Source organism: Homo sapiens, chromosome 3 (assembly GCF_000001405.40).
Source record: "Homo sapiens chromosome 3, GRCh38.p14 Primary Assembly".
NCBI classification, from domain to species: Eukaryota; Metazoa; Chordata; class Mammalia; order Primates; family Hominidae; genus Homo; species Homo sapiens.
The window spans coordinates 52,740,488-52,752,699 of record NC_000003.12 but is presented as its reverse complement, the minus strand read 5'-3'; the positions used below and the strand labels follow the sequence as shown (position 1 = coordinate 52,752,699).

Here is a 12,212-nt window from a genome sequence, read left to right as displayed (position 1 = left end):
TCAAGCTCCTGGCCTCAAGTGGTTCACTTGCTTTGGCCTCCCAAACTGCTGGGATTACAGGTGTGAGCCACCGTGCCTGGCAGTATTTACCACATTTTGTTTATCCCTTCATCTGCTGATGGACTTTTGGGTTGTTTCCGCCTTTTGACTATTTTAAATAAAGCTGCTGTAAACATTGGTGTACAAATACTTAACTTAAATCCCTGCTTTCAGTTCCTTGGATTACATACTTAGGAGTGGAATTGCTGAGTCATATGTTAATTCTATGTTTAACTTTTTGAGGAACCTCTTGTTGCATTTTGAGTTGATTTTGTATAAGATATGAGGAGTGCTATAATAATTTCCAAACATCTTTTCATTCAGGGTGAAGGCAAATGTTTGTCCCAGGAGAAACCCAGGGCCTCTGGTCTCTTGAAGTCACCTGCCAGTCTGAAAGCCCATACCTGCAAACAGGACTTGAGCAATACCACAGAACTAGCCACAATCAGTAGCGTAAATATTGACATCTTACCTGCAAAAGGGAGGGATTCAGTGAGTGATGGCTTTGTTCAGGAGAATCAGCCAAGATATTTGGATGCCTCTAATGAGTTAGGAGGTATATGCAGTATTTCTCAAGTGGAAGAGGAGATGCTGCAGGACAACACTAAATCCAGTGCCCAGCCTGAAAACCTGATTCCCATGTGGTCCTCTGACATTGTCACTGGGGAAAAGAATGAACCAGTGAAGCCTCTGCAGCCCCTAATCAAAGAACAAAAGCCAAAGGACCAGGTGAGTGATATGCACACATGAGATACTGGTTTTGGAGAGAAGACTGAAAGTGCAGTTACAAATATGTGGGTTCTGTTGTCATTTTAGGAAAATCAGTAATTCTATGTATCAGTTTAAACATAGAAGAATATTTGCATCAAACCAAAAAGAAACCCAGTACCCTATAACAGTCACTCACCATTCCCTCTTGCCCACAACTCGTGGCAACATTTGTCTCTATGGATTTGCCTATTCTGAGGATTTCATATAAATGGAATCATACAATTTATGGCTTTGTGTGTTTGGCTTCTTTTTTTCTCTTTTTTTTTTTGAGACAGAGTTTCACTCTTGTTTCCCAGGCTGGATTGCAATGGCGCGATCTCGGCTCACTGCAACCTCTGCCTCCTGGGTTCAAGCAGTTCTTATGCCTCAGCCTCCTGAGTAGCTGGGATTACAGGCATGCGCCACCACGCCCAGCTAATTTTTTTTTTTTTTTTGAGACAGAGTCCCACTCTGTCGCCCAGGCTGGAGTGCAGTGGCGTGATCTCGGCTCACTGCAACCTCCGCCTCCCGGGTTCACACCATTTTCCTGCGTCAGCCTCCCGAGTAGCTGGGACTACAAGCACCCACCACCACACCTGGCTAATTTTTTTGTATTTTTAGTAGAGACGAGGTTTCACCGTGTTAGTCAGGATGGTCTCGATCTCCTGACCTCGTGATCTGCCCATCTTGGCCTCCCAAAGTGCTGGGATTACAGGCATGAGCCACCGCACTCGGCCGATGCCCGGCTACTTTTGTGTTTTTAGTACAGACGGGGTTTCTTCATGTTGGTCAGGCTGGTCTCGAACTCCCGACCTCAGGTGATCAGCCTGCTTTGGCCTCCCAAAGTGCTGAGATTACAGACATAAGCCACTGGGCCTGGCCTGCCTTCTTTTACTTAACCTGATGTTTTCAAGGTTTATCTATGATGTAGGATGTACCAACATTTTATTCCTTTTTTAAAAAAATTTCATTTTTTAATTTTTTGAGACAGGGTCTCTGCTGCTCAGGCTAGCGTGCAGTGGTGCAAACACAGCTCACTGCAGCCTTGACTTCCTGGGCTTAAGTGATCCTCCTGCCTCAGCCTCCTGAGTAGCTGGGACCACAGACATGCCCTGCTAATTTTTTTATTTCTATTTCTTGTAGAGAGATGGGGCCTTGCCATGGCCATGTTGCCCAGGCTGGTCTCAAACTCCTGGGCTCGACAGTCCTCCCAACTTGGCCTCCCAGCGTACTGGGATTATAGGCATGAGTCACTGGACCCTGCCTCATTCCTTTTTATTGCCAAATAATATACTGTATTTGTATTTGTGTGCCTGTGTGTGTGTGCATGTGTGTGTATACACACACATATATGTATTTTTTGTTTGTTTGAGTCTCACTCTGTCACCCAGGCTAGAGTACAGTGGCACGATCTCAGCTCACTATAACCTCTGCCTCCTGGGTTCAATGATTCTCGTGCCTCCGTCTCCCAAGTACCTGGGATTGCAAGTGCATACCACCATGCCCAGCTGATTTTAGTATTTTTAGTAGAGATGGGGTTTCACCATGTTGGCCAGACTGGTCTCAAACTCCTGACCTCAAGTGAATCGCCTGCCTTGGCCTCCCAAAGTGCTGGGATTACAGGTGTGAGCCACCACACCCAGCCTATATATATTTTATTCATCCATTCATCAGTTGATGTACATTTGGGTTGTTTCTACTTTTTAGGTACTTTTGTTTTCTAAGAGGAAGGTTATATGTGGATAATGCGGCTATGAACACTTGCATACAAGTTTCTGTGTGGACATATATTTTCAGTTCTGTTGAGTATGTACCTAGGGGTAGAATTCCTGGGTCATATGGTAACTCTATGTATTAAACTTTTTGAGAAACTGCAAAATTGTTTTCCAAAACAACCATATAATTTTATTTCTGCCAGCAATATATGAGGGTTCCAGTTTATCTGCATCCATGCTAACACTCGTTACTGTTCATTGTTTTGAACATAGTCATCCTAGTAGGTATGAAGTGGTTGTGATTTGCATCTCCCTAATGACCAATGATGTTGAACATGTTTTTCTTTTTCTTTTTTTTTGAGACAGAGTCTTGCCCTGTCGCCCAAGCTGGAGTGCAGTGGCACAATCTTGGCTCACAGCAACCTCCGCCTCCTGGGTTCAAGTGATTCTCCAGCCTCAGCCTCCCGAGTAGCTGGGATTACAGGCGTGTGCCACCACGCCCAGGTAATTTTTGCAGTTTTTCTAGCAGAGATGGGGTTTTACCATGTTGGTCAGGCTGGTCACGAACTTCTGACCTCAAGTGATCAGCCTGCCTCGACCTCCCAAAGTGCTGGGATTACAGGTGTGAGCCACCGTGCCCAGCCTTGAGCATCTTTTTATATACTTTGGCCAGTATTTCTCCTTTGGAGAAATAATCTATTTGAATTCTTTATTCTAGATACCAGTTACTTATTAGATACAGCATTTGAAAATATTGTCTCCCGTCCAGGAATGGTGGCTCACGCCTGTAATCCCAGCACTTTGGGAGGCCGAGGCAGGAGGATCCCTTGAGGTCAGGAGTTCAAGACCAGCCTGGCCAACATGGTGAAACCCTGTTTCTACTAAAAATACAAAAATTAGCTGGGCATGGTGGCACGAGCCTGTAATTCCAGCTACTCAGGACGCTGAGGCAGGAGAATCGCTTGAACCTGGGAGGCAGAGGTTGTAGTGAGCTGAGATTGACCCAGTGCACTCCAGCCTGGGTGACAGAGCAAGACTCCATCTCAAAAAAACAAAAAAGGAAAATAAAATATTGTCTCCCATCCTCCCCTCCCCTCCCCTCTTCCCCTTCTGCAAGGCCTTGCTCTGTTGCTAAGGCTGGAGTGCAGTGATGTGATCTCAGCTCACTGCAGCCTCCACCTCCTAGGCTCAAGTGATCCTCCAATCTTACCCTCTCGAGTAGCTGGGACTACAGGCATACGCCAGCACGCCTGGCTAATTTTTTCTATTTTTTGTAGGGACAGGGTGTCCCTATGTTGTCTAGGCTGGTCTCAAACTCCTGGCTGGGCTCAAATCATCCTCCCACCTTGGCCTCCAAAGTGCTGTGATTACGGGTGTGAGCCACCTGTGCCTGGCTGAGCATCTAATTAATATGCATCAGACATAGTCCTAAGTACTTTTAGTGTATTCTTTCAGCTAATCCTGAAATAGTAATACAATATGGCTGTGGGTATTAGATCCATTTTTAAATGATGAAACTGGGCTCAGGGAAATTAAGTTTCTCACATAAGACTGCATCTAATGCCAAGCTCAATGGTCTTTTTATTGTGCTTTTTAGGGTACATCCAAATAACTGATGTTTACTTGGGAAATAAATTTGTATTAAATTGGAATTCATTTAAAACATTGGTTCATTTTCAGAATGGAAAACCTATGAAAAGTTATGAGGAGATTTTTAAAAATAATTGAATCAAACATCAGTAGTTTCAGATTAACCACAATTTAAGTGATTGAATTAAAACAATTATTTTTATTTGGAGGAAGAGAAAAAAATCAGAACATTTGGATAACTGATGTCGGCATTTTGTCTTTGCCTGTCAACACTGCAAATAAACATTCATTTTGAGAAAGACAACTTCTCATTTTCTTTTTAATTTATTAAAAAATTTTGGCCAGGCACAGTGGCTCACACCTGTAATTCCAGCACTTTGGGAGGCCGAGGCGGGCGGATCATGAGGTCAGGAGATCGAGACCATCCTGGCTAACACAGTGAAACGCCGTCTCTACTAAAAATACAAAAAAAAAAAAAATTAGCTGGGCGTGGTGGCGGCCACCTGTAGTCCCAGCTACTCGGGAGGCTGAGGCAGGAGAATGGCGTGAACCCAGGAGGAGGAGCTTGCAGTGAGCCGAGATCGCGCCATTGCACTCCAGCCTGGGCGACAGAGCGAGACTCTGTCTCAAAAAAAATTAAATAAAATAATAATTTTTTTTTTTGAGACACTCTTGCTGTGTCACCCAGGCTAGAGGACAGTGGCATGATCACAGCTCATGGTAGCCTTGACCTCCTGGACTCATACAATCCTCTTACCTCAGCCTCCTGGGTAGCTGTGACTACCTGGCATATCACTACATCTGACTTTTTTTTTTTTTTTAAATGGAGATGGAGGTCTCACTCTGTTGCTCAGACTGGTCTTGAACTCGTGGCCTCCAGTGGTCTTCCTGACTTGGCTTCCCAGAGTGTTGGGATTACAGGTGTGGGCTACCACACTCAGCTTCTTCTCATTTTCATTTACAATTTTAAAAGTAGGCATGGAGCGTTTGGCCATTTGGATGTTCAAAAGACTTCATTATTTTGTGTTTTTGTGTGTGTTTGCTTCATTTTATAATCATTATTTTTTAACTGTTGCATTATGATTTAATTTCATTGCACAAAAATTTGAAATTGCAACTGCTTTTCTTTTCTTTTCTTTTTTTTTTTTTTTGAGATGGAGTCTCACTCTGTTGCCCAGGCTGGAGTGCAGTGGTGCGATCTCAGCTTACTGCAGCCTCCCCCTCCCGGGTTCAAGCAATTCTTCTACCTCAGCCTTCTGAGTAGCTGGGATTACAGGTGCGTGCCACCATGCCCAGCTAATTTTTGTATTTTTGTAGAGACGGGGGTTTCACGATGTTGGCCAGGCTGGTCTCGAACTCCTGACCTTGTGATCTGCCTGCCTCAGCCTCCCAAAGTGCTGGGATTACAGGCACAAGCCACCATGCCTGGCCCGCTTCTTTTGTTTTCTAAGAGGAAGGTTATGTATACCTCTATATTCAATTCTGCATTGTTATATTTGAACCATATTGTGAACTTTACATTGTGATGGGTCATTTTAGAACTTCCATGTAACACTAAATTGCAATATGGAAACCAGTTTTTAAAACTGAGGAAAGTTTTCATGCTAAAAAACAAAAGCCACTTTTTATGGACAACTTACTTTGGATTACAATGTACCAGGTTGCTGCTATACTTTAAAATGTCATTTTATTGTTTTTAAGGATCAAGTTGCTGGTGAATGTATTATAGAAAAACAGGGCAGAATCCACCCAGATTTACAGCCACACAACTCTGGGTCTGAACCTTCCCTGTCTCGACAGCGACGGCAAAAGAGGAGAGAACAGACTGAGCACAGAGGGGAAAAGAGACAGGTCCGCAGAGATCTCTTTGCTGTAAGTCATTTTGCTTTGGTTTGGGAGGTGGACTTTGGGAAACTCAATTTCTATTTAGAGCAATTAACAATTGCCAAAAAGGCATGTAAGAAATGCAAGGAACATAATACAGAAGGGTGACAATGGCAAGATGCTAAATAGTAGTTTTCAAATATCAGTGAGTTCGAAGCAGAGTAAGGATTTTATCTTCTCCAGCAAAGATGGACAGATCATTTTGAAAGTTAAAGGAATAGGCTAATGTGGTTAAACCTTTGGCCCCATCTGTATTGTACTGATGAACAGTTCTTTCTTCAGCTTCTCCACAGAATCATGTTGACATCTCATTTCTAGAAATAACTTCAACACGTATCCTCTCCATAACCTTCTTAGATGACTGACTTTTGGCAGAGTCTTTCCAAAAAAATGCAATGTTTTGAAGGTTTTAAGAGCAAACCACGGACAAATACATAGAGAACCTGCTGATAGGGGAACATTGGAAGGGGCTATATATGAAACTGATAATCTTCTTTTTTAATTATTTAAGTTCCAAGAGTCGCCTCCTCGATTTTTGCCTTCTCATCCCATTGTTGGGAAAGTGGATGTCACATCAACACAAAAAGAGGCTGAAAACCAACGTAGAGTGGTCACTGGGTCTGTGAGCAGTTCAAGGAGCAGTGAGATGTCATCATCAAAGGTTTGTGGGAACATATGCTGGATTTTTAAAAACCTTATAACCAGACGTGGTGTATCATGCATGTAATCCCAGCACTTTGGGAGGCTGAAGCAAGAGGATCAATTGAGTCCAAGAGTTCAAGACTGGCCTGGGCAATATAGTGAGACCTTGTCTCTACAAAAAATTTAAAAATTAGCGAAATGTGGTGGCATGTGCCTATAGTCCCAGCTACTCATGAGGCCGAGGTGGGAGGATGGCTTGAACCCAAAAGGCGGAGGTTAAGGTGAGCCGAGATCATGCCACTGTACTTCAGCCTGGGTGACAGAGCAATAACCTGTCTTAAAGCAGAAACCCTCCAAAACCTTCTTATAAAGCTTTTTGTTTGTAAAGTCTTGTGTATATTATGAAGTTTTGTATTAAAACATCTTAGCTCTGCTTCTTGCCAAACACTGGAAGGAACAGATGGGACAGATGTGATCTCAGCAGAATCTTTTTTTTTTTTTGAGGTGGAGTCTCGCTCTGTTGCCCAGGCTGGAGTGCAGTGGCACAATCTTGGCTCACTACAATCTCCGCCTCCTGGGTTCAAGCAATTCTCCTGCCTCAGCCTCCTGAGTAGCTGGAACTACAGGTGCCAGCCACCATGCTCGGCTAATTTTTGTATTTTAGTAGAGATAGGGTTACACCATTTGGCCAGGCTTGTCTCAAACTCCTGACCTCAGATGATCCGCCTGCCTTGGCCTCCCAAAGTGCTAGGATTACAGGTATGAACCACCGCACCCGGCCTCAGCAGAATCTTTGATTGAAATGGACAGATTCTGTGGTTTCAGAGATGGTCACTTCCAGTGAATTAAAGAAACCAAGTAGGCCAGGTGCGGTGGCTCACGCCTGTAATCCCAGCACTTTGGGAGGCCGAGGTGGGCAGATCACAAGGTCAGGAGATCGAGACCATCCTGGCTAACACAGTGAAACCCCATCTCTACTAAAAATACAAAAATAAAATTAGCCGGGCGTTGTGGTGGGCGCCTGTAGTCCCAGCTATTCGAGAGGCTGAGGCAGGAGAATGGCGTGTACCTGGGAGGCAGAGCTTGCAGTGAGCTGAGATAGGGCCACTGCACTCCAGCCTGGGCTACAGAGCGAGACTGCATCTCAAAAAAAAAGAAACCAAGTAGATTCCGAATATGGCAAATGTGAAAGTCCCCATTTGCCCTTCCAAAAATGAGCACCTCCCAGAAACGAGGGCTGTGATCATTGTGATCATTTTTCACTAGTAGCTATAACCCTGCTGTGGGCTGGTTTCCAATGGACACTCCTCTAAGTCCAGCGCAAGACCTTTTTTTTTTTTGGTCTTGCTGTGTCACCCAGGCTGGAGTAAGACCTTTTTCTTTTTTTTTTTTTTTTGAGATGGAGTCTTGCTCTGTCACCCAGGCTGGAGTGCAATGGCGCGATCTCAGCTCATTGCAACCACCGCCTCCCAGGTTCAAGCAATTCTCCTGCCTCAGCCTCCCGAGTAGCTGGGATTACAGGCACGCACCACCATGCTCGGCTAATTTTTGTATTTTTAGTAGAGACGGGGTTTCACCATGTTGGCCAGTCTGGCCTCGAACTCCTGACCTGGTGATCTGCCCACCCCAGCCTCCCAGAGTGCTGGGATTACAAGTGTGAGCCACCGCATCCAGCTCAGACCTTTTTCTTAATGCTGAATGATACATCATGGATTGTAGGTGTTATAAAAATAGCAAGTAGGAATGGAAGTGACTCTGTGACTTTCTTTTAAAGGATCGACCATTATCAGCCAGAGAGAGGAGGCGACTAAAGCAGTCACAGGAAGAAATGTCCTCTTCAGGTAAAGTTGACTTCTTTTCTTCATCTAATTGGCAGTTAGGGGTATGGTTCGTGGACAGAAACACTGGTTCTAACTATGAGAGGTTGAAACTTTCCAGCAGCAGTAAAACATGTAGGAAATCGAGTTGGAAAAGATTTTGAAATTTCTTAGTCAAGTCTTTTAAGAAATCATCATAGGGTGTTGAATGTGGTTCAAATATCAGAGGAGGGGGATATTAAAGAAATAACAAGAGGGCTTTGAGTGGCAGTAAGTCCTGGGAGGTTTCAGACCAGAAATCAAGTGAATGTTTAACTTTTTTCCATGTCCAGTGTCCACTGTTCAGTGAATTGCTCCCATCTTAGGAACAGAGGGAGGTTGCTTGGGGAGTGGTGCTGCCGTAGGCTGAGGGCTATCATTCTTTTTAATATTTTTTAAAGATAGTACTAGCAGTTTCCATTTATTGAATGCTGACCATGTCTTAGGCATTATGGTAAACATATTAAGGGTATTATCTCATTTCACATTTACAGTACTGCCAAAATATGCAGCATTATCCTCATTTTGCAGCTAAGGAAACAGAGGCTCTGAGGAGTTAAGTAACTTGCCCAAGGTCACAGAGCTGGTGGACCTAGAGCTAAGATTTCAACTGAGGTGTCAGACACCAGAGAAATGATAAATATGCTGTTTGACTTACTTTTGGGCTAGCTCCTGCTGGGGTATGTTCCATACCAAATACAAAGCCCTTTTCAACTGGGGCAGCCCACCACAAACAACTACTGGGGATGTTTGCCTTTTCAGGCCCTTCAGTGAGGAAAGCGTCTCTGAGTGTAGCAGGGCCAGGAAAACCCCAGGAAGAAGACCAGCCCTTGCCTGCCCGACGGCTCTCCTCTGACTGCAGCGTCACTCAGGTGCATTACGTACTCCTAAGAGAGAAGGTGGACAGTCTACATCTGGCAGGCCTAATGCAGTAAACCTTTTAAATGTCAGCTCCATTTATTTTTGGGACAGGGCCAGCTTGTTATATCTTTTCACTCTTGATAAAGAAAGGAACTGGTAAATAATAGTCAAAAGGATTATGATTGACCCATTAAGGGAATAAATTTTTCAGGTACTCTTGTAAACAATTGATAGCCTAATTAAAAATATTTCATAGGTTGGTCTTAACAGGACTTCCTGGCCTGATGCAGTGGCTCACGCTTATAATACTAGCACTTTGGGAGGCCAAGGTGAGAAGATTGCTTTAGCCCAGGAGTTTGAGATCAATCTGGGCAATATAGTTGGACCCTGTCTCTAAGAAAAAAAAATTACCTGGCAAGGTGGCGCACACCTGTAGTCCCAGCCACTCGGGAGGCTGAGGTGGAAGGATCACTTGAGCCCAAGAGGTTGAGGCTACAGTGAGTTGTGTTCACACCACTGTGCTTTAGCCTAGGTGACAGAGCAAGACTCTGTCTCAAAAATATAAATAAATAAATAAGTAAATAAATAACAGAACTTTCTAAGGGCTTGCACTAGGCAGCACTTTGCTCAATCTGCTGTGATACCAACATACCCATCTGTGTCGCCAGATTTGAGTCTCACTTGCTAATCATTCCTCAGTTTCTTATTTGTGTCAATGTAGTTTACCTTCTTGCCTGTAGATGATGTAGGGACACCATCTGGTGGCTAAATGGGTAATTACTAGGTTTCTAACCCATGTTCACCTCTCTGTATAATACTCTGGGAATTCTTCCTGTTCTTTGAAAGTATTGGATGTATTATTTCTTTAACTATATCATTTAGTTATTTCACTAATAGAGGCTGCCTTCCATATCTCAGAGTTGTAAGGTTTATGTGTATTTTTAGGTGATCCTTTAAAGCACTTTAACAGTCTCACATTAAGAGCAAGCTGAAGCTGGGCATGGTGGCTTGTGGGTGTTATCTCAGCTACTTGGGAGGCCAAGGAAGGAGGATTGCTTGAGCCCAGGAGTTTGTGGCCAGCCTGGACAACATAGTGACACCCCTGTATCCAAAAAAAAGAAAAAAAAAAAGACAAGCTGAGTTTGCCTAGGTAATTTAAAATGCCAACATTCCTATAGAACAAGCCTTCTGCTTAGGAGTTGATAAACCAGAACTAGCCATCCACTGTCCTCTGGAAATTTCTTCACAGCTGAGACTCTCCAGGACCTTTGTAAAACTTCACCTTGGGCAGGCGCGGTAGCTCATGCCTGTAATCCCGGCACTTTGGGAGGCTGAGGCAGGCGGATCATGAGGTCAAGAGTTGGAGACCAGCCTGGCCAACATGGTGAAACCCTGTCTCTACTAAAAATACAAAAATTAGCTGGGCGTTGCGGCACGTGCCTGTAATCCCAGCTACTCGGGAGGCTGAGGCAGGAAAATCACTTGAACCAGAGAGTCGGAAGTTGCTGTGAGCCGAGATCGTGCCACTGCACTCTAGCCTGGCGACAGAGCAAGACTCTGTCTCAAAAAAACACAAAAATCAAAACAAAAAAAAAACAAACAAAATAAAAAACTTCATCTGATGTTCTTCAGTTATTCTTGTGGACTTTATGAGTGAACTGGGATATCACGGGTAAAATCACTTCAATGTTTTTTTCTTTTTGCCACAAATCATATGGGAACAATTTTTGTATTTGTTAGATTCTCCTGTTATATTGCACCTAGGAACGTATTGTGTCTAGTTGTTGCATCTAAGACTGGTTCAAGTATCACATTCTGGTTGTGTTGTCATGTAGAATTTTAATTCTTCCAAACATTTAATAGGAAAGGAAACAGATTCATTGTCTGTCTGAGGATGAGTTAAGTTCTTCTACAAGTTCAACTGATAAGTCAGATGGGGATTACGGGGAAGGGTAAGTTCTTGTTTTTCTGTCTCCCTTTATAAACTATTTCTGTTTTAATGAATATTAAATGTGCATTTTCAGTAGTATTTAGATCTCTAGTATTCCCACTGATAAAATTATAAATGGTTTGTGGCATATGCTGGAGCTAAAAGTGTCTCTTCTTTTTTTTTTTTTTTTTTTTTTGAGACGGAGTTTCGCTCTTGTTGCCCAGGCTGGAGTGCAGTGGCACAATCTCCGCTCACTGCAAGCTCCGCCTCCCGGGTTCACACCGTTCTCCTGACTCAGCCTCCCAAGTAGCTGGGACCACAGGCGTCCGCCACCATGCCCGGCTAGTTTTTTGTATTTTTTTAGTAGAGATGGCGTTTCACCGTGTTAGCCAGGATGGTCTCGATCTCCTGACCTCGTGATCTGCCCACCTCGGCCTCCCAAAGTGCTGGGATTACAGGCGTGAGCCACCACGCCCCGCCTGGCCATTATTTCTTCACATTTTTTTTTTGGACTTCTTCCTGCCCTCTTAGGGATTCCAATTACATGTATATTAGGCTCCTTAAATATGTGCCACAGCTCACTGATGCTCTGTTTATTTTTACTTTTTAAAAATATATTTTATTTTATTTATTTATTTTTTGAGACAGAGTCTAACTCTGTCATCTAGACTGGAGTGCAGTGGCATGATTTTGGCTCACTGCAACCTCTGCCTCCTGAGTTCAAGGTATTCTCCTGTCTCAGCCCCGCCGAGTAGCTGGGATTACAGGCACTCGCCCAGCTACATTTTTGTATTTTTGGTAGAGACTGGGTTTCACCATATTGGCAAGGCTGGTCTCGAACTCCTGACCTCAGGTGATCCGCCCACCTCGGCCTCCCAGACTGCTGGTATTACAGGCATGAGCCACTGCACCTGGCCTGTTTTTACTTTTTTTCTGTTTCACATT

The 12,212-nt window shown here is 43.9% G+C and overlaps 1 protein-coding gene across 11 annotated transcripts in view; it reads left to right on the top strand.

The window, feature by feature from the left end:
- The window catches only part of NEK4 (NIMA related kinase 4), a 62,497-nt gene that overhangs the window by 18,241 nt on the left and 32,044 nt on the right, over positions 1–12,212 (top strand). For 5 of the 11 annotated variants that reach the window (NM_001193533.3, NM_001348414.2, NM_003157.6 and 2 more), the window contains 7 exons: positions 364–768; positions 2,871–3,008; positions 5,796–5,966; positions 6,490–6,639; positions 8,395–8,461; positions 9,239–9,348; positions 11,201–11,289. In NM_001193533.3, the coding sequence (NP_001180462.1) occupies positions 364–768; positions 2,871–3,008; positions 5,796–5,966; positions 6,490–6,639; positions 8,395–8,461; positions 9,239–9,348; positions 11,201–11,289 (1,130 nt within the window). Of the gene's footprint in view, positions 1–363; positions 769–2,870; positions 3,009–5,795; positions 5,967–6,489; positions 6,640–8,394; positions 8,462–9,238; positions 9,349–10,282; positions 10,960–11,200; positions 11,290–12,212 lie in introns of those variants that run through there. The other 6 variants (NM_001348412.2, XM_047448772.1, XM_017007086.2 and 3 more) reach the window with 3 other exon arrangements.